At 44.6% G+C, this 22,043-nt stretch overlaps 1 protein-coding gene across 1 annotated transcript in view; it reads left to right on the top strand.

Annotated features, from left to right (window-relative positions):
• PRR14L (proline rich 14 like) overlaps positions 1 to 22,043 on the top strand; it is a 68,786-nt gene that overhangs the window by 6,547 nt on the left and 40,196 nt on the right. Inside the window, exons 2-3 of the mRNA NM_173566.3 lie at positions 4,675 to 5,199; positions 17,976 to 18,048. Coding sequence (NP_775837.2) covers positions 4,726 to 5,199; positions 17,976 to 18,048 — 547 coding nt within the window. The 5' untranslated portion in view covers positions 4,675 to 4,725. The remainder of the gene's footprint in view (positions 1 to 4,674; positions 5,200 to 17,975; positions 18,049 to 22,043) is intronic.

Raw genomic sequence — 22,043 nt, 5'->3', positions numbered from 1 at the left:
CAAGTGATCCACCCACCTTGGCCTCCCAAAGTGCTGAGATTACAGGCTTGAGCCACCGCTCCCGGCCAGGTTCTTTTTTAAAAGAAATCATTTTTTTAAGATTTAATTCATATGCCATACAATTGACTGATTTAAATTGTACCAGTCAGTGGTTTTTGGTATAGTCACAGAGTTCTACAGCCATCACCATAATTGACTTTAGAACATTTTTATTACTCAAGAAAGAAACTCTGTGTCCCTCAGCTGTCACTCCCAATTTCTCCAAGAATCCCAGCCTTTTTTTTGGACAGACTTTCGGTTTTGTCTCCCAGTCTGGAGTGCAGTGGCGCAATCTCGGCTCACTGCACCCTCTGCCTCCCAGGTTCAAGTGATTCTCCTGCCTCAGCCTCCAGAGCAGCTGGGACTACAGGCGCGTGCCACCATGCCCAGCTGATTTTTTGTATTTTTAGTAGAGACGGGGTGTCACCGTGTTACCCAGGATGGTCTCGAACTCCTGACCTCATGATCCTCCCACCTTGGCCTCCCATGGGCGTGATCCTCCCCTCTTAGTAGCTGGGTTCATAGTAAGATTTGCCTAGTCTAGACATTCCTATACAGGGGATCTTGTAATATGTGATCTCTGTGACTGGCTTCTTTCACTTAGCATAATGTCTTCAAGGTTCATTCATGTTGTAACGTGTTATTTCTCCATTCCTTTTTATGGCTGAATAATATTCCATTGTAGGGCTATACCACATTTTGTTTATCCATTCATCAGTTGATGGATATTTGGATTGCTTATACTTTTTGACTATTGTGAGTAGTGCTGCTAAAGACATTTGTGTACAAATTTTTATGTGGACATATGTTTTGTGCATGTATGCATATGAGGGGAATTGCTGAATCCTATGGTAACTCTGTGCTTAAAGGAAGAGTTTTAGGCCAGGTGCAGTGGCTCACACCCTTAATCCCAGCACTTTGGGAGGCCGAGGCGGGCGGATTACTTGAGGTCAGGAGTTCGAGACCAGCCTGGCCAACATGGTGAAACCCCGTCTCTACTAAAAATACAAAAATTAGCCACGCGTGATGGCATGTGCCTGTAATCCCAGCTACTCAGGAGACTGAGGCAGGATAATCCTTGAACCTGGGAGGCAGAGATTGCAGTGAGCTGAGATGGCACCACTGCACTTCATCCAGCCTGGGCGACAGAGCAAGACTCCATCTCAAAAAAAAAAAAAAGGAAGAGTTTTGAGTCATCCTCATTACAGAGGCTGCAGAAAAAGATGACGTTATCAAGAAAGTGAAGCCTAAAAAGAGAGTAGTCAAGGATTAAGTTTTAAGAACACCCATATCTCTGTGGTAGGCAGGATCAGATGCATAAGGTGGCAGAGACCCAAGGAGCCCATCTCCTTCGAAAAATCTGCTCTTTTACAATATCCTTTCCTGCATTTACTCTTCAAATCTGTATGTGCTGTGACAGGTGAAAACTGGACTGTGTATGTTGTTGGGAAAGGAAAACTGAACCAAATTAAAATTGAGCACTTCCTACTTATTTTTGGCATCAAATAGCAACTCCACGTTATCTCTACTAACCTCCCCCATCCCCCACCTTACACATACATAAATGGCCTAAAATCTGAAGTGCCCCTAGAAAGATGTTTCTGTATCTGGAAATAAAGGAGAAAGGGGAAGATTCTAGATCTAAAAGGGATACATTTCTCTCAGCACTGTTTTTGAGACGGAGTCTCACTCTGTCACCCAGGCTGGAGTGCAGTAGCGTGATCTTGGCTCACTGCAACCTCCGCCTCCCAGGTTCAAGCAATTCTTCTGCCTCAGCCTCCTAAGTAGCTGGGACTACAGGTGCCTGCCATCATGCCCAGCTAATTTTTATATTTTTAGTAGAGACAGGGTTTCACCATATCGGCCAGGTTGGTCTCTAACTCCTGACCTCAGGTGATCTGCCTGCCTGGGCCTCCCAAAGTGCTGGGATTATAGGCATGAGCCACCGCACCCAGCCTTACAGCACTGTTTATGAAAGCTTTTCACATCCAGAATCTCATTTGATTCTCGCTCTTCCCCTGTACACACAGTTTATCTCTTGGTAATGTTTTGTTTTGTTTTATTGCTTGTTCTTTTTTTTCTTTGAGATGGGAGTCTTGCTTTGTTGCCCAGGCTGGAGTGCAGTAGCAAGATCTCGGCTCACTGCAACCTCTGCCTCCCAGGTTCAAGCGATTCTTGTGCCTCAGCCTCCCGAGTAGCTGGGATTACAGGAGCCTGCCACCACGCCTGGCTAATTTTGGTATTTTTAGTGGAGACTGGATTTCACAATTTTTTTTTTTTTTTTTTTTTTTTTTGAGACAGAGCCTCGCTCTGTCACTCAGGCTGGAGTGCAGTGGCGCAATCTCGGCTCACTGCAAGCTCCGCCTCCCGGGTTCACACCATTCTCCTGCCTCAGCCTCCTGAGTAGCTGGGACCACAGGCGCGCGCCATCATGCCTGGCTAATTTTTTGTATTTTTAGTAGAGATAGGGTTTCACCGTGTTAGCCAGGATGGTCTTGATCTCCTGACCTCGTGATCCGCCCCTCTCGGCCTCCCAAAGTGCTGGGATTACAGGCGTGAGCCACCATGCCCCGCCTTGGATTTCACCATATTGACTAGGCTGTTCTCGAACTCCTGACCTCAAGTGATCCACCTGCCTCAGCCTCCCAAACTGCTGGGATTACAGGTGTGAGCCACTGCGCCCAGCCTAATCTTTTGGATTTAATTTTTTTAATTCGCCTTTCTGTGTTACCTAAACATCATGGAACAGCAATCTAATTTCTTATCACTTCTGATATTTAAGTTAGTATTATAACGTTACGCTCTTTTACCTTTGGGAAGGTTCGTTAAAATTCATCTTTTCTCTCCTTGTTTAGGGTTAGGGAAAGCATCAAGAATGAAAGTGTGGGTCAGGCATGGTGACTTGTGCCTATAATCCCAGCACTTTGCGGGGCCAAGGCAGGAGGATTGCTTGAGCTCAGGAGTTGGAGACGAGCCTGGACAACATATCAAAACTTTGTCTCCACCAAAAAAAAAAATTAGCCAGGTGTGGCCTGGCACAGTGACTCATGCCTGTAATCCCAGCACTTTGGAAGGCCGAGGTGGACAGATCACGAGGTCAGGAGTTCAAGACCAGCCTGGCCAACGTGGTGAAACTTTGTCTCTACTAAAAATACAAAAATTAGCTGGGCGTGGTGGCACACGCCTGTAGTCCCAGCTACTCTGGAGGCAGAGGCAGGAGAATCACTTGAACCTGGGAGGCGGAGGTTGCAGTGAGCCAAGATTATGCCACTGCACTCCAGCCTGGGTGACAGAGTGAGACTCCATCTCAAAAAAATAAAAAAATTAGCCAGGTGTGGTGATGTGCACCTGTCCCAGCTACAGGAAGCTGAGGCAGGAGGATCACTTGAGTCTGGGAGAGGGAGGCTGCGGTGAGGAACGATTGCACCATGGTACTCTAGCCTGGGTGACAGAGCAAGATCCTGTCTAAAAAAAAAATGAAAGCATGAAGTATCTTATCTGGCTGACCCATTTCTGCTTTGGTCAGGTCAAAGCAGATTTTTTTTTTCCCCTACTTAGGCAAGATTTATTTCAAGGCCTGTAAACATTCAGACTAATCAGAATGGTCAAAGTGGATTTTGTTGTTGTGGAAACTGCATGTTTGGTACACTAAACTGGGAAAGTTAGGAGCCAAGAAACCCTGGCCCTGAGTATGTGTGTGTTTTGGCTACTTGTATAGTGCAGTATTACAAACTGCATAGATATAAGTGTTTCAGCAAATAACCTGTTACTTCCATTCACTGCAAGAAATGAAACATTACGAACACAGTGGAAGCTCTTTCTCTCTTAATATACCTCCACTTTCATCCTCTCAGACAACCATGTAATATTTTAGGCAGGTCATATTTAACCTCCTCAGGTGTGGTGTTAGGATCTAAAACAAGAAGCTGATAGCTGCCCTACTTAGCTCAAAGGGTTGTTAAGAGAATCAAATGAGTGATGACTGTGGAAAACACTTGGAAAATCTAAAGATGCAGGATAAAAATCAGGAAGGATTCTGCTAACGAGCTGGTTTAGTAGTGTCTTGTGCTAGCCTGGGTAGAGAGAGCTGAAGTATTTAGTAAGCAGTAAAGGAATGGAATCCCACTTTATCCCTATCCTCCCTCAAAGAGGAAAAGTCAGTATATGAAATTTTCCAGAGTTCCTCAGTATATATTCATTCAACAAATATTTGCCGAGTACGTACTATGGGATAGCATGGGGATATGGCAGTGAACAAAAAAGGTAAGGTTCATGCCCATGAAAACAAACAGAAAACCATCTTTATTTTCTCATTTACATCAGGTCTATCCTTGGATGCTTTAGGCATGTCTTATTCTCTTCTACATTGGCAGGCCCTTCACGTTTAAATTGAGAATTGTTCATAAGGCAGTATTTGAATTGAGATTTGATTGAGAGCTGTCTAATCTCAAACGTTATTAAAGGTTAAGGTATTTATTTTTCTACAAATTCATTAAGGAGAAATTTTTGGTGCCAGATAATGCTGGCATTTAAAGTAGAACTTATTTTCTTCGTTGTAGCCGGTTTGAACTGAGGCAGCCTTCTTCTAACCTATCAAGGTTTTAAACTTTTATCCCTTCCTGTGATTTGTGTCAGGGTGAATCATTTGATGTAAAAGACTTGACTCCATAATCTGCATCTGTCCTAATGCTGTCATCTGGAGTAGAGACTCAGCCAGTTCCACTTGATTCCTCCATGTCTGCCGTGGTACAGGAATTATACTCTGAACTCCCAGTAAGTGTCTCCAGAGAGCTTCATGCTGACCCTGAGCCAAGTGTGATTCCAGATGTAAAACCTGGAGCCTCAAGCTCTCTTTTAAGTCAGAATAGGGCATTGCCCTTGGAGCTGCAGAGGACTCATGTGGAGAGTTGTTGTGAAGAAACCTATGAGACCTTGGATCATGGGAGTGAGCCTGGGCGATGTGGGCTAGTGGACTCCACAGCAGGAGGTTCTGTGGCATCTGGGATCTTGGATAGGGCAAAGAGAAGCGAGAGCATGGAGCCAAAGGTCTTCAGAGATCCAGGGGGCCAGGCAGGAATTATAAGAGAACCCTCTGAGGGAGCAAAGGAAGATCCACATCAACATTCCACAGCTGCTGAAGAAAAGACTAGCCCGAGTCAGGTAAGAAATGAAATCTCCATTCCGAAGAGTTGAGTGTGAATGACAGCTTTCTCTGGATAAAATACAGATGCTGACGGTTGGCTCATGATTTATTCTTGAAACATTTCCGAAATGTCGATTTTGAAGTTAACTTTGTTTTGATGATCTTTTAAAACATTTATGTCACATCAGACACTTGAAGAGAGGAAGTGCTTAGTAAAAAAGTGTCAGTTCTCTGAAGCAGCGACTGTATATGAAATGTTGAGTCTGTGAAAATCATGGTATTTCAGCATTTGATGTTAAGAAATGATATAGATATACTCAGTCCTTATGTTTTGGTAGGTTGGAGTGAGGTATCACAGAGAAACCTTTGAAGGGAGGCTTTTTTTTTTTTTAAGAAGGTCTCATTCTGTCACCCAGGCTGGAGTGCAGTGGCACGACCTTGGCTCACTGCAACCTCTGCCTTCTGGGTTCAAGTGATTCTCTTGCCTTAGCCTCCCAAATTAGCTGTGATTATGGTATAAGCCACCATACCCAACTAATTTTTTTGTGTTTTTAGTAGAGACGGGGTTTCGTCATGTTGGCCAGGCTGGTCTCGAACTCCTGACTTCAAGTAATCCACCCACCTCAGCCTCCTAAAGTGGTGGGATTACAGGCATGAGCCACCATGACCAGCCGATGTGTGCTTGAAATTATACCCAGAGAGGTTGGTTAGTTGAGACTAATAGTGAGCTATGATAGTGTGATGGTCTCAAATTCTTTTTTCTTCTTTTTTTTTTTTTAATAGAGGCAGGGTCTTAGTATATTACCTAGGCTGCTCTCAAATTCCTGGGCTCAAGCAATCTTCCCACCTCGGCTTCTGAAAGTGTTGGGATTACAGGTGTGAGCCACTGAGCTGGGCCCTCCAAATTCTTTTTTCTTTTTTTTGAGACAGAGTCTTGCTCTGTCACCCAGGCTGAAGTGCAGTGGTTTGATCTCGGCTCACTGCAACCTCTGCCTCCCAGGTTCAAGCGATTCTCCTGCCTCAGCTTCCTGAGTAGCTAGGATTATAGGCACCTACCATTACGCCCGGCTAATTTTTGTAGTTTTAGTAGAGATAGGGCTTCACCATGTTGACCAGGCTGGTCTAGAACCCCTGACCTCAGGTGATCCGACCGTCTTGGCCTCCCAAAATGTTGGGATTATAGGCGTGAGCCACCGTACCCTGCTGGGCCCTCCAAATTCTTAAAGGAATGTACCTGTCCAGCGGACTCTCTCCACAGGGTGGTTTTCTAACCCAGGGGTCAGCAAATTTTTTCTATCAGGGGCCACGTAGTAAATCTTTTAGGCTTTGCAGGTCATATGGTCTCCTTTTTTTTTTTTTTTTTTTTTTTTTTGAGTCTCTCACTGTCTCCCAGGCTGGAGTGCAGTGGTGTGATCTTGCCTCACTGCAACCTTCGCCTCCTGGGATCGAGCAATTCGCCTGCCTCAGCCTCCTGAATAGCTGGGATTACAGGCGCTGGCCACCACGCCCGGCTAATTTATTGTATTTTTAGTAGAGACGGGGTTTCACTGTGTTGACCAGGCTGGGTTCAAACTCCTGACCTTGTGACCCACCTGCCTCAGCCTCCCAACGTGTTGGGATTACAGGCAGGAGCCACCATGCCTGGCCTCATATGGTCTCTTTTGGAACAACTCAGCTTTGCCATTGTAGCATAAAGTGGGCAGAGGCAATACATAAATGAATGAATGTGGCTGTATTCCAATAAAACTTTATTAGCACAGGCTGCTGGCCTGAGGGCTGTGGTTTGCCAACCCCTGCTCTAGACCCACCATCAGGTTCATATGTTCTTTGGGCTGCCTAGGCTAGGCTCCCATCCCGCTCTTGATACATATATCTTTTCTTTACACAGGATAAAGGGCAGTTAATTGTTGTTAGTGGGCTTCATACAGTGACTATGATTAGGAATGAATGAAGCATTAAGTAACATTTGAACATGATATTTGAGTTTACACTGTGATGCCTTTTTTTTTTTTTTTTTGAGACAGAGTTTCGCTCTTATTGCCCAGGCTGGAGTGCAATGGTGCGATCTCAGCTCACTGCAACCTCCACCTCCTGGGTTCAAGCAATTCTCCTGCTTCAGCCTCCCGAGTAGCTGGGATTACAGGCATGTGCCTCCACACCCGGCTAATTTTTTTTTTTTTTTTTTGAGATGGAGTCTCGTTCTATTGCCCAGGCTGGAGTGCAGTGGCGCAATCTCAGCTCACTGCAAGCTCCGCCTCCCAGGTTCACGCCATTCTCCTGCCTCAGCCTCCTGAGTAGCTGGGACTACAGGCATGCACCACCACACTTGGCTAATTTTTTTTTTTTTTTTTGAGATGGAGTCTTGCTCTGTTGCCCAGGCTGGAGTGCAGTGGCACAATCTCAGCTCACTGCAAGCTCCGCCTTCCGGGTTCACGCCATTCTCCTGCCTCAGCCTCCTGAGTAGCTGGGACTACAGGTGCCTGCCACCATGCCCGGCTAATTTTTTGGTATTTTTTAAATAGAGACAGGGTTTCACCATGTTGGTCAGGCTGGTCTCGAACTCCCGACCTCAGGTGATCCGCCCACCTCAGCTTCCCAAAGTGCTGGGATTACAGGGTGAGCCACTGCGCCCGGCCAATGCCCTATCTTTTAAAAATACAGTTAAATAGGTAAAAGGCTAAGGATCCCAGAGTTCCTATTGTGTTACTTCTTGATGTGGTGGGCTGAGTCTAACAAGAAAAGTTTCTTTTTTTTTTTTTTTCCAATTTAGGGACCTGCCACTTCAGGAGAGAAAAGTTTTTTAATGTAATGTTTGATATAAAAGCATGCGTAATACACATAAAGTATAATGAACACACACATGTATATATGTGTTTATATATGCATACATATACATACACATGCTTACATAACAATCAACCTAAGAACTAGATTACTATCTCAGTGTTCTTTTTTTTTTTTTTGAGACAGATTCTTGCTCTGTCACCCAGGCTGGAGTGCAATGGCACGATCTCAGTTCACTGCAAGCTCCACCTCCCAGGTTCATGCCATTCTCCTGCCTCAGCCTCCCTAGTAGCTGGGACTACAGGCGCCCGCCATGACGCCTGGCTAAATTTTTGTATTTTTTTAGTAGAGACGGGGTTTCACCGTGTTAGCCAGGATGGTCTCGATCTCCTGACTTCGTGATCCGCCCACCTCGGCCTCCCAAAGTGCTGGGATTACAGGCGCAAGCCACCGCGCCCCGCCACCCTGTTCTTTTTTAAAATCATTCCTTTTCTCCCTCCCAGCTCCACCAGTGTATATTCCATTTTGAATTGTATAAAGCAGAATGAAATTTAATTGATATAAATGTTAACATTTTGTACTCAGTTTCAAAAAGTGATCTCCACAATTGAAAAGAAACAGAAATACTTACGGGGAAAGGGGAAACGGAAGACCTGCAGGTTTTAGCAGGTCAATTAGAATTGACTTTGTTCCAGGAAAAGCCAATTTGCTCTTAATATCATTAAGGGAAATGTGTTATCTGGACTGAGAAGTGGTGGTCATGCTCTGTTGTGTGCTGGTTAGGCCACAGCTAGAGTATTATACTTTCCTGTTGTTGTCATGTGTGTGAGAGGTATAGAAAACCAGGAATGCATTCATGGATAAGTATTCACACTAATGACACAACCTGAAAATATGCATCTGGAGGCCAGGTCATTGGGTGTGTAACTTGTGAAAGAGAACAGTCAAGAGACGTGAGAGAAGCCTTCAGCAATTTAGAGGTCATTCAGCAGAAGTGGTCCTGTGGGGCACAGTTAGGCCAGTGGAAGATGTGGGGCAGCAGCAACAGCTCCTAATCACTCTCAGGTCACAGGACCCTTTGGAAATCTGAACACTGCAGACCTTTCAGAAAAGCAGACATACCACTTGCATACCATTTCAGATTTGCAAACCCCAGGCATCCCCTGATCTCAATTTATAAGAGCTCTTGCTATATTGACAAAATATCCCACAGTCAAAAGACAGCTGACAAATTGAGAGAACATATTTGCAATGTATATCAGAGATAAAGGGTCTATATCTGTAATACATGAAGAACTCTTGAATTGAGGAATGAAGAACCAAACCCAATAGAAAAATGATAAGACTTGGGCTAGGTGTGGTGGCTCACACCTGTAATCTCAGCACTTTGGGAGGCTGAGGCGGGAGGATGATGAGGTCAAGAGATTGAGACCATCCTGGCCAACATGGTGAAACCCCATCTTTACTAAAAATGCAGAAATCAGCTGGGTATGGTGGTGCATGCCTTTAGTCCCAGCTATTCGGGAGGATGAGGCAGGAGAATTGCTTGAAACTGGGAGGCAGAGGTTGTAGTGAGCCGAGATTGTGCCACTGCACTCCAGCCTGGCGACAGAGTGAGACTCCCTTTCAAAAAAAGAAAAAGAAAAAAATGGGAAGACTTGATAATGAACTGTGTGTGTGTGTGTTTGTGTGGTGTATGTGTGTGTGTGTGTGTGGTGGTGGTGGTTAAACATAAGAGATGGTCAGCCTCGTGTAATTAGAGAAATGCAAAGTTAACCAGAGATACCACTTTTTTCCCTTTGATTTAAGGGTGTCGCTTTTTGACTATCAGATGGGTGAAAATGAAAATGTATGACAACGTATCTGGTTCAAGCAAGGCTATGAGGAAACAGACATTCTAATACATTGCTGGTGGGAATGCAAACTGATACAACCTTTCTGAGGAGCAGTTTGGCAACATTTAACAAAACTATTGGTGCCTCGACCTGTTCACCGAACACTTTAAGGAAACCTGCCTTAAAAGATAGACTTCTAGGCCTGTAATCCTAGCGCTTCGGGGGGCCGAGGCGGGTGGATCACCTGAGATCAGGAGTTCGAGACCAGCCTGGGCAACATGGTGAAAGCCTGTCTCTACTAAAAATACAGAAATCAGCTGGGCGCAGTGATGCATGGCCGTAATCCAAACTACTTGGGAGGCTGAGGCGGGAGAATCGCTTGAACCCCAAAGGCGGAGGTTGCAGTGAGCCAAGATGGCACCACTGCACTCCAGCCTGAGTGACAGAGCGAGACTCCGTCTCAAAAAAAAAAAAAAAAAAAAAAAACAGTGGCCAGGCGCGGTGGCTCACACCTGTGATCCCAGCACTTGCGAGTACGAAATGGGTGGATTGCCTGAGGTCTGAGGTCAGGAGTTCGAGACCAGCCTGGCCAACCTGGTGAAACCCCCATCGCTACTAAAAATACAAAAAATTAGCCGGGCGTGTGGCGGTCGCCTGTAATCCCAGCTACTCGGGAGGTTGAGGCAGGAGAATAGTTTGAACCCAGAAGAAAGGGTTGTAGTGAGCCGAGATTGCACCATTGTCACTCCAGCCTGGGTGACAAGAGCAAAACTCTGTCTCAAAAAAAAAAAAAAAAGATACACTTCTAGCAGTATAACAATACTTAATACACAAGGTTGTTCTTTTCAGCAGTTTTTAATTGCAAAATATTGGAAACAACCTAAATGCCCATATATAGGAGAGAGATTGAATACATTATGGCATAAGGTATTTACATACATGGAGTATTATCCAGCTATAATAACAAGGAAGATCTCTATATACTGATATGGAGTGATTTCCAGGTGTGTCAGGGGTCCCCAAAACCAGCAGGTTTTCAGAGTTGCTGAAACTCACAGGACTCAGCATTTAGTTGTTCTCACAGCTACAGTTTATTGCAGTGAAAGGATACAAAGAAAATCAGCAAAAGGGAAGCAGGCATAGACCAAAGTCCAGAGGAAATCCAGTGCAAGCTTCCAAGAGTCCTTTCCTAGTGGAGTCATACACACTTAACCTCCTTCAGGAACAAATTGTGACAACACGTATGAAATATTGTCTACCATGGAAGTTTGTTAGTGGGTCAGTGCTCAGGGATTTTACTGGGGACTGGTTGCATGGACATCCTCTGCCTGGCACATAGCAAAATTTCCAACTCCTAGAAGGAAAGCAGGTGTTTAGCATAAACCACGTTATAGTGTAGGCACAGTGAGACACTCCTGTTTAGGGAATGGTGGAAACTCCCAAACTCTAGTTCCCAGATGCTAGCTAAGGCTGACCCTGCAGGTAGACCTTTCTAAGGACAGCAGTCAGGCCTGCTCTGTTGACTCACTTCTGTAAACTAAGATATGCTGTTAAGTAAAAAATGCAAATCAATATCTATAGTGTTGTCCTTTCCATGCAAGAAAGAAGAGGAAATAAGCATATATAGAAGTATCTGCTTATTTGTATAAAACCTATACACAAGTACACATGGGAAGGATAAACCAGAAACTAATGAATTTGATTACCTATCCTGAAAGAATGGGGGAATGGAAATGGAATAGAAAGGGTAGGAGAAACTGGCACTTCTGTAAGTACATCTTTTGGTATAGTTCTAACTTCATACTTGAAAAATAACTAACTAGACAACTGGGATGTGAGATGGGCCCAAAGCTGAATAGAAACTATAACAAGTGAGTCTTAACTGTATTACAAATGAATAACAAAACCAATGGGGAGGGTAGCCCACATTACTTTAGCAAACAGTAATTCGACTATATCCTCTTAAAGAATAAAGTCAAAAAAGAATAGAAAATATTAGTAAATTTGTTTCTCACAGGGGTAGGACTTAGCCATTTCTAAACAAAATGCCTATATGTGTTCTAGGATTGGGGAAATAAGTAAATATATGTGGATAATGAGAGCCAGTTTTCTCTCAGAGAAATAAATTACAAAGGAGGGGTGGCAAACATGAACCCTGACCCAAACATGAACTCCATGAATTGGAGTTATCTTTTTTTTTTTTTTTTTTTTTTTTTTTTGAGACAGTCTCACTCTGTCACGCAGGCTGGAGTGCAGTGGTGCGATCTTGGCTCGCTGCAACCTCCTCCTCCTGGGTTCAAGCAATTCTCCTGCCTCAGCCTTCCAAGTATCTGGGACTACAGGCTCATACCACCAGGCCTGGCTAACTAATTTTTTGTATTTTTAGTAGAGACGGGGTTTCACCGTGTTAGCCAGGATGGTCTCAATCTCCTGACCTCGTGATCCGCCCACCTCGGCCTCCCAAAGTGTTAGGATTATAGGCATGAGCCACGGCGCCCAGCCTAACATGGGGTTCTTAATATATACACATAGAAATGGAAATACTTGAGTGTATACGATAGGGCCTAGAGGTAGCAACAGACACCTTGTAGCAATGAGCACACCTAGTCTTGGCTCTAAATACTTTTTTCCGATAAAAGAAACCAAGATTCCTTGGAGAAATGGCTGTTCCAGGACAGGAGAGGGAAAAACGCAAGATGTGCCCGGAGCAATTTGTGGCCAAATGCTCAGAAAATTATGGGGATATATCAGAAGGACACAGCAGCCAACTTGAAGGGGCTCCCAGTGGCCAAGTATGGGATGATTTGAGCTTAAAATAAATGATAGTGATGAATTATTCGACACTTACTTTTGCAGCAACCTGTAGTACCCATAGAATAAGACAAATACCCATGAGCCCGTTTGCTGACTTTCTTTGTATCCTTTCACTGTAATTGAATTAAAAGTGAGAAAAGAAAGGTCTTACAGAATTCCAATTAATATATATGGAATGATGGAAATAGAAAAAACACTGTTTGGCAACCATCACAATAATAATTATCTCAAGCAGGAATCATTAATGGTTGTTAAAGCTAGTGGCTAAATGTTTGGGAAACAAATATTTACATAGTCTCGAAGTATTTCCCTACAAGATATTTATTAGTTACAAAGGTGGAATAGTAACTTCACAATGGAGAAACCTGGCAGAATCCACCCAAACCAAGTGATAGAAGTTTGCCCCCAGGAATGAGGCACCCTAACACCGTGATAGGACAGTGCCTCCTGATAGGACACTGCCCCCAATAGGACACCATGAGGAGAACCAACATCACTTCTGTGGTATTCTTTTTTTTTTCTTTTTTGAGACGGAGTCTCGCTCTGTAGCCCAGGCTGCAGTGCAGTGGCACGATCTCAGCTCACTGCAACCTTCGCCTCCCGGGTCCCGGTTCAAACAGTTTTTCTGCTTCAGCCTCCTGAGTAGCTGGGATTACAGGCACGTGCCACCATGGCCAGCTAATTTTTGTATTTTTAGTAGAGACAGGGTTTCACCATGCTGGCCAGGCTGGTCTTGAGTTCCTGACCTTGTGATCCACCCGCCTTGGCCTCCCAAAGTGCTGGGATTACAGGCATGAGCCACAGCGCCCGGCGATTTTTTTTTTTTTTTTTTAGACTGAGTCTCATTCTGTTCTCCCAGTGCAGTGACATGATCTCAGCTCACTGTAACCTCTGCCTCCTGGGTTTAAGCAGTTCTCTGCCTCAGCTTCCCAAGTAGCTGGGACTACAGACATGCAACACCATTCCTGCCTAATTTTGTATTTTAGTAGAGATGGGGTTTCACAGTTGACCTCAGGTGATCCGCCCACCTCGGCCTCCCATAGTGCTGGGATTACAGGCGTGAACCACCGTGCTCGGCCCAAAAATATGCAGTTCAGTCACATTAAGCACATTCGTAGTGTTGTGTAACCATCACCACCATCCGTCTCCAGAACTTTTCTTATCATCCCAAACTGAAACTCAGTACGCATTAAATAGTAACTCACCATTCTCCCCTTACCCCGTCTTTGACAACAACCATTCTACTTTCTGTCTCTATGAATTTGACTACTCTAGGTACATCATTCAAGTGGAATCATATGGTATTTGCTGTTTTGTTACTGGTCTTAATATTTTTAAAAGTTAAATATTCCAATCATGAAACAAATATTTCAATCATGAGAAGTTAAACCAGTAAAATAATAATAATTTCCTGTCTTAGGATCGTGTCCCAAAGTTATTAAAACTTGTAACTAGGCCGGGCGTGGTGGCTCACGCCTGTAATCCCAGCACTTTGGGAGGCCAAGGTGGGCAGATCATCAGGTCAGGAGATCGAGACCATCCTGGCTAATACGGTGAAACCCCATCTCGCCTAAAAATACACACACAAAAAATTAGCCGGGCGTAGTGGCGGGTGCCTGTAGTCCCAGCTACTCCGGAGGCTGAGGCAGGAGAATGGCGTGAACCCGGGATGTGGAGCTTGCAGTGAGCGGAGGTTGTGCCACTACATTCCAGCCTGGGCGACAGAGCGAGACTTCGTCTCAAAAATAAATAAATAAATAAATTTGCAACTAATAATTTTGGGATTTGATCAAGATCACCCTGCTGAGGGTGAACTATCTTAGAACAGGCACAGTGGAAGGGACAGCTGCAAGAGCCAAGCTGAATTGTGAAAGAATGTATTCAGTTCTGAACTCCACTCTTGTAGGAGGAAGGTCAAAATCTGTTACGCATGCAAAGGTTACTAGCAAGGATGTGGAATAGATTGGTCTTATTTAAGAACTGTGCACCAAAGATAATCAGAGATGGACATGTGACATCCCACATGGATGATTTAGCATTGAGAACTCTATACCATGCTTGGTTTTTATTGTTTGTTTTTTTGGTGCTTACATATAAGCTATAGAGTGTTAAACTTTTTACATATTTTTTTCCCCATAATGGTAGATCCACCTGGGTTGAATATGTTGTAAACACTTTGGTTCTAGGATACAATACATTGGTTGTATTCAACTCAGACACAGAAAAAGTTCAGAATTTTTTTTTTTTTTTTTTTTTGAGATGGAGTCTACTCTGTCGCCCAGGCTGGAGTGCAGTGGCACAATCTGAATTGTCTTTTAACTGTAACATACAAAAGCGTAGTATACGTTTTTTTTTTTTTTTCGAGATGAAGTCTCTGTCACCCAGGCTGGAGTGCAGTGGCGCGATCTCCGCTCACTGCAACCTCCGCCTCCTGGGTTCAAGCCATTCTCCTGCCTCAGCCTCCAGAGTAGCTGGGATTACAGGCACCCGCCACCATGCCCAGCTAATTATATATTTTTTAGTAGAGACAGGGTTTCTCCATGTTGGTCAGACTGGTCTCAAACTCCTGACCTCAGGTGATCCGCCCTCCTCGGCCTCCCAAAGTGCTGGGATTACAGGTGTGAGCCACTGCCCCCGGCCCTAGGACTCTTAACTTTAGGAATCCTGAAAGTTAGAACATTTAGCTGATAAAATATTGTAGAAAAAGGAAATTGCATCTGATACATTTCTGCTAGTTCATCATATGATTGGCTATTTTGGAGCAGGTGGGGGACGTTACAGAGGTTATCATGTTACATGTCCATTGCATCCAAGTAGGTTGTTCTGTTGCCCTCATCCATATTCAGGAGCCCAGACTAGCAGAGCTCCCACTGGATCTGGAGGTTGCCCACCACCATGGTAAGGCTGTTGGGGGAGGTCTCTCACATTTGACCTCAGCCCACACTCTTTTATTGTCGATTGATTCAATTTCTTTTCTTTTTTTTTTTTTTCTGAGACAGTGACTTGCTTTGTTGCCCAGGCTGGAGTGCAGTGGCATGATCTTGGCTCACTGCAGCCTCCTCCTGGGTTCAAGTGATCCTCCTGCCTCAGCACCCCTAGTAGCTGGGATTACAGGCACGCACCACCATACCCAGCTAATTTTTGTATTTTTAGTAGAGATGGGGTGTCATGATGTTGGCCAGGCTGGTCTTGAACTCCTGACCTCAGGTGATCCACCCACCTCAGCCTCCCAAAGTGCTGGGATTAAAGGCGTGAGCCACTGCACCCGGCCCTGATTCATTCAATTTCTGATTATATTTCAGATTAACACAAACCTTGTAGAGTCTCCAGCCTTCCTGTGAGGGATAACTTGCTTTTCTTAACTCAGAACCTTTTAAGAGAAGTCAATAAGTCAGGGAGGAAGTCTCTCTTTCCCTGTTAAGAATTGTGGCTAATCAGCCGCGCATGGTGGCTCACGCCTGTAATCCTAGCACTTTGAGAGGCCAAGGTGGGTGGATTGCCTGAGCTCAGGAGTTCGAGACCAGCTTGAGCAACAACGGTGAAACCCTGTCTCTACTAAAATACAAAAAATTAACCAGGTGTGGCGGCGTGCACCTGTAGTCCCAGCTACTCAGGAGGCTGAGGCAGGAGAATCGCTTTAACCCAGGAAGCAGAGATTGCAGTGAGCCGAGATCGCACCACTGCACTCCAGCCTGGGCAACAGAGTGAGACTCCATCTCCAAAAAAAAAAAAAAAAGAATTGTGGCTAATCAAGGAAAAGGAACATGGTCGAAACAGTGGGCTTGGCACTCCACCAGGGTATTTTGGGGCCTCCAGCTAGCGGCACCTTAGAGCCACAAGTGGGACGAAGCAAAATCCCACCAACCCCTCTGGGGCTGGATCCACTAAGATTTCATTGCATTAGCTCACCAGAGACCTTTGGGATCTGAAGGAGCCTGTATGTCACTGGCCTGTGCTGTCACTTTACAGAGGCTCCAATAGCCTTGGAAAAGCTTATGGAAGTCATTCCAGAAACGTGCCAGAATCTGTCCGTGACAGCTCTGTTGGCTTTTCTCACAGAACGGGATGGATAACAGGTGTCTACAGTCTCATGAAGAATGGAAGCTTCTGCTCATGGAGCACCCTGTCCTGACTGGGTGTTTTGCTGGGTGTTTTATATGGTTTCCATGTATTCTTTCAGCCACTTGTAAGGTTGCTGTCAGCACCATGTAGTTAGTAGGTGAGAGTCCTTGGGTTGGAACAGAACTCAGGCACTCTCCCTTTTCCATGAAGTGTTAACTTGAAAGAATATTTTAAATAGCATCTATTCTCACACCTCAAACATTCAGCCTGAGAACTGGAAAAGCAGAGAATAGTAACATTTGGGAGAAAGGATCAAATATAACTACAGATAAATATTTTCTTGGCCAGGCGCGGTGTCTCATGCCTTTAATCCCAGCTCTTTGGAAGGCTGAGGTAGGCAGATCACTTGAGGTCAGGAGTTTGAGACTAGCCTGGCCAACATGGTGAAACCCTGTCTCTACTAAAAATACAAAAATTAGGCCGGGCACAGTGGATCACGCATGTAGTCCCAGTACTTTGGGAGGCCGAGGCAGGTGGATCACCTGAGGTCAGGAGTTCAAGACCAGCCTGGCCAACATGGGGAAACACTGTCTCTACTAAAAATATAAAAATTAGCTAGGCATAGTGGTGGGCGCCTGTAATCCCAGATGCTTGGGAGGCTGAGGCAGGAGAATTGCTTGAACCCATGAGGCAGAAGTTGCAGTGAGCTGACAGCGCGCACAGTCTTGGCTCACTGCAACCTCTGCCTCTAAAAAAGTTTTTTTTAGACCTCTGTTATTGTCACAACTTTAAAAAGTTTTCAGGCTCAAATTCTAGATAAGTAGAAATTTTTATTGTTTACCCTTACTTAAATTTGAGGTTTCCTTCAGTGCCCAATCCTTGTGACTGCTAGCTAATTTCCCAAAGTCATAAAGAAGTCTCTCAAAAATAACTAATATTCAGCCAGGCGTGGTGGCTCACGCCTGTAATCCTAGCACTTTGGGAGGCGGAGGCGGGCGGATCACTTGAGGTCAGGAGTTCAAGACCAGCCTGGCCAACATGGTGAAACGCTGTCTGTAGTAGAAATACAAAAATTAGCCAGGCGTAGTAGTGGGTGCATGTAATCCCAGCTACTTGGGAGGCTGAGACAGGAGAATACCTTGAACCTTGGAGGTGGATGTTGCAGTGAGCCACGATCTAACCATTGCACTTCAGTCTGGGAACAGCAAGACTCTGTCTCAAAAAATAATAATAATAATAATATTCATTAACTCAGAATCTTCTGAATCCCCCTTGACCACTGGATTTTCTTACTGTAGGAGGATCTCCTGATGCAGTCCAGCAAAGAACTTTCACATGTGGACCTCCCTGAAGATTTTCTAAGGAGCAAAGGTATTTATTTCTCTCAAATCTCTTCCTTTATCCACTTACTGCAAATACTGTTTTAGTTCCGCTTCCATTTTGCATTGAGAATATAAGGGTTGTAAGTCCTTGCCTTGTAAGGTGTACTTAACTATAGAAACTGTAACTTCACTGTAGATCGTATCTTAGTATTGCCCATGGATGTACTTGCACAGTGCACTGCAGCCTCAACCTCCCGGGCTCAAGTGATCTTCATACCTCAGCCTCCCAAGTAGCTGGGACTACAGGCGTGACCCACCATGCCTGACTGATTTTGTAAATTTTTTTTTGTATTTTGTAGAGGCAAGGTCTCACCATGTTGCCTAGGCTGGTCTCGAACTCCTGGGCTCAAGTGATCCTCCTGCCTCTGCCCCACAAAGTGCAGGATTACAGGCATGAGCCACCGCACCCAGCAAGTCCCTTTCTTTTGAGTGTGTTGAACCTTTGTTGGATTTTATATCATCAAATATACTGTATTTGCCTGTTTAGAAGGGTTAACTGGAACAGGGGAGACATGTACCCAGTATAGTTCAGCATGTGGTAGTGTATCATTTTCTTGTTCTGTGGGGTCAGGGATGAGATAAAATGTTTACTCCAGGTCACCCTGAGAGTTTTCAAGGCAGTTTGATTACCTCTTTTTGCTCCTCAAAACAATGGTTGGGTATAGAGTTCTGAGATTATTACTTTTAGGTTGGTTGACTGATTGAGGAGGAAGCTGAGGTCCAAAAGAGAGTAGCTGAGGTAAGGTTCTCCTCTTCTCACCCCAAGGCTAAAAATAAACTTAGATTACTTTAGAGAGGTCTATGTGTCAAGGCTAATACAGAATCATCAGGCTGGGCACAGTGGCTCACGTCTGTAATCCCAGCACTTTGGGAGGCCAGGGTGGGAGGATTGCTTAAGTCCAAGAGTTTGAGATTAGCCTGGGCAATGTGGCGAAACCCCTTCTCTACAAAAAATGCAAAAATTAGCATGGCAGCACACACACCTGTGGTCCCAGCTACTCGGGAGGCTAAGGCAGAAGGATACTTGAGCCCTGGGAGGTTGAGGCTGTAGTGAGCCGTGATCACACCACTGTACTCCATCCTGGGCAACAGAGCAAGACCCTGTCTCAGAACCTCACAAAGAGAAGATAAAGTGAATACGCTAAGTCAGTGGTCCCCGACATTTTTGGAGTCAGGAACCTGTTTCGTGCAAGACAGTTTTTCCACAGATCTGGTGGGGTGGATGCTTTTAGGATGATTCAAGTGCATTGCATTTATTGTGCACTTCGTTTCTATTATTATTCCATTGTAATATATAATGAAATAATTATACAACTTCCCATAATGTAGAATCAGTGGGAGCCCTGAGCTTGTTTTCCTGCAACTAGGTGGTCCCCTCTGGGGTTGATGGGCGACAGTGACAGATCATCAGGCATTAGATTCTCATAAGGAGCTCACAACCTAGATCCCTTGCATGTACAGTTCACAATAGGGTCCACGCTCCTATGAGAATATAATGCTAGTGTTTATCTGGCAGGAGGCGGAGCTCAGGCAGTAATGCAAGCATGAGGAGCAGCTGTAAATGCAGATGAAGCTTTGCTCACTTGCCTGCTTCTCACCTCCTGCTGTGCCGCCCGATTTCTAACAGACCAAGGATGGGTACTGGTCCATGGCCCAGGGTTGGGGACTGCTGCATTAAATTATATGACTATTTTGTTACTGTGATGAAACATCAGATTTGACTCTTAGCTTCTCGGCAGCCTGGACAGAAAAGGAAGCACCAATCTTTCTTATGAAAAAGGACATTTGTCCCAGTTTATCACCCAGCTTCCTGCTGCTGCAGATTTCTTCTGTGGCTCAGAGGCTTCACTGTCCAGTGTAGATTAAAGGACATTCCTCCGAAGATGAGAAATGGTGTTTTGTACATAAATCTCACCCTGTTCTTAGAGGCTTACTAGGGATACAGTTTAGTGGGCCCCTAACCCCACCCCCAAGATCTGTTTAGTTGGGCTCCAGTATTGCTGTATTCAGTCTTTGGTATATTTTCACCCACATCTTACCACAGAATTTACTGTCTGTTGAACTACACTTTCATTTAACCACTGAACTGGCCTTTTAAACAGGAGAACCAGGGTTATTTTCTGCTTGGAAATCTGCCTTTTCAAAATTACCTGGCTACTCTCCACCTAAGAAGCTGGTCCACATTGGACATAGATAAGATGAACTCTCCTGAACAGTATCTGCAGCTAAATTACTCTGTGACACTTTTCTTCATGTTCTAATATCATGCTTATTTAATGACTTAAATTGGTAAAATATTTGATTTTTTTTCTCCCCCAAACCCATGGATAAGGGTCTCAGTTTGGTATAGGCGAGCTTGAAATCAGCATCTCTACTAGAGTTTTTAGCAGCAATGGCCTAGTTCATTCTGTCCCCCAAGAACATTCCAGGGTATTCCTGTGTTGCATGTGAGGAAGCAGGCTCAGCTGTCCAAAGTCATAGCCAGTCATAGCAAGCCAGAGAAGAAGATTCTGTGGAGACAGGCCTGTGAAGATGTTGAGCCCTGGGAGCATGAGCAATATATGCCATCACCATGGATTTGATTTAAATAGACCCACGTTCTCTTCTGTAGTGTGGCCAGCATTTTGGCTTGCTCTGCCAAGGTCAGGCATCTGCTACTTTATCTTTACTGTGGAATTAAGAACTGAATGATGCCGGCTGGGCGCAGTGGCTTACACCTGTAATCCCAGCACTTTGGGAGGCCGAGGCAGGCAGATCACGAGGTCAGGAGATCAAGACCATCTTGGCTAACACAGTGAAACCCCATCGCTACTAAAAATACAAGAAAAAAAACAAAATTAGCCAGGCATGGTGGCGGGCGTCTGTAGTCCCAGCTACTTGGGAGGCTGAGGCGAGAGAATGGTGTGAACCCCGGAGGTGGAGCTTGCAGTGAGCGGGGATCGCTCCACTGCACTCCAGCCTGGGCAGCAGAGCAAGACTCCGTCTCAAAAAAAAAAAAAAAACTGAATGATGCCTCTTAGAAACCAAGCTTGTCTCCAGGGCTCCAGCTGCCAAAATCTTCACTCTGCCCCACCCAGATTTAAGTTTTCTTTCTTTTTTTTTTTTTTTTCTTTCTGTCACCCAGGCTGGAGTGCAGTGGCACGATCTTGGCTTACTGCAACCTCCGCCTGCCGGGTTCAAGCAATTCTCCTGCCTCAGCCTCAAATAGCTGGGACTACAGGCACGTGCCACCATGCCCGGCTGATTTTTTTGTATTTTTAGTAGAGACGGAGTTTTACCATGTTGGCCAGACTTGTCTCAAACTCCTGACCTCAGGTGATCCACCCGTCTCAGGCTCCCAAAGTGCTGAGATTACAAGTGTGAGCCACCGCGCCCGGCCCAGATTTAAGTTTTCTCGATGAAAATCTAATATATACTTACTACCTTTGTTTCATTAAGTGTTTGCATGGTTGAGCACTGTGCAAATTACTTTACTTGATTTTATTTATTACGTTTTGGTTATTCTGAGTGGGAGGACTTCAGTGTAATTATAAATTGGCTGAGGAATGATTTGGGATCCCCTGCACCAAGTTGTTTAGTAAGTGAACCTCTGCTACTACACTCTCCCCTCAGTGCATTATTTTTACTTCTCTATATAAATGTCCCACTGTCAGTACTATCAAATTACCATGGTATTCCAGAGTTTTGGGATTCTTTTATTTAATTGATATGTAATGTGCATGGTTTGGGGGTATATGTGATAATACATCGTATAATTTGAAAAGATCAACTTGTGTACTTGGGATTTCCATCACCTTAAATATTTGTCTTTTCTGTATGGTAGAACCATTCAAATTCTTCTCTTCTGGCTATTTTGAAATATGTAATAGATAATTGTAAGCTATAGGCACAATCATATGTCTGCTGCTTGCTGCTGCTCAATTAGCTAAAACGGCAACAGATTGAACCTTTTTTTTTTTTTTTGTGAGTCTTGCTCTGTCGCCC

Source organism: Homo sapiens, chromosome 22, assembly GCF_000001405.40.
Source record: "Homo sapiens chromosome 22, GRCh38.p14 Primary Assembly".
Classification (NCBI taxonomy): Eukaryota; Metazoa; Chordata; class Mammalia; order Primates; family Hominidae; genus Homo; species Homo sapiens.
Note: the sequence above shows the minus strand (reverse complement) of the source record. Positions and strands in the feature narration are given on the sequence as shown.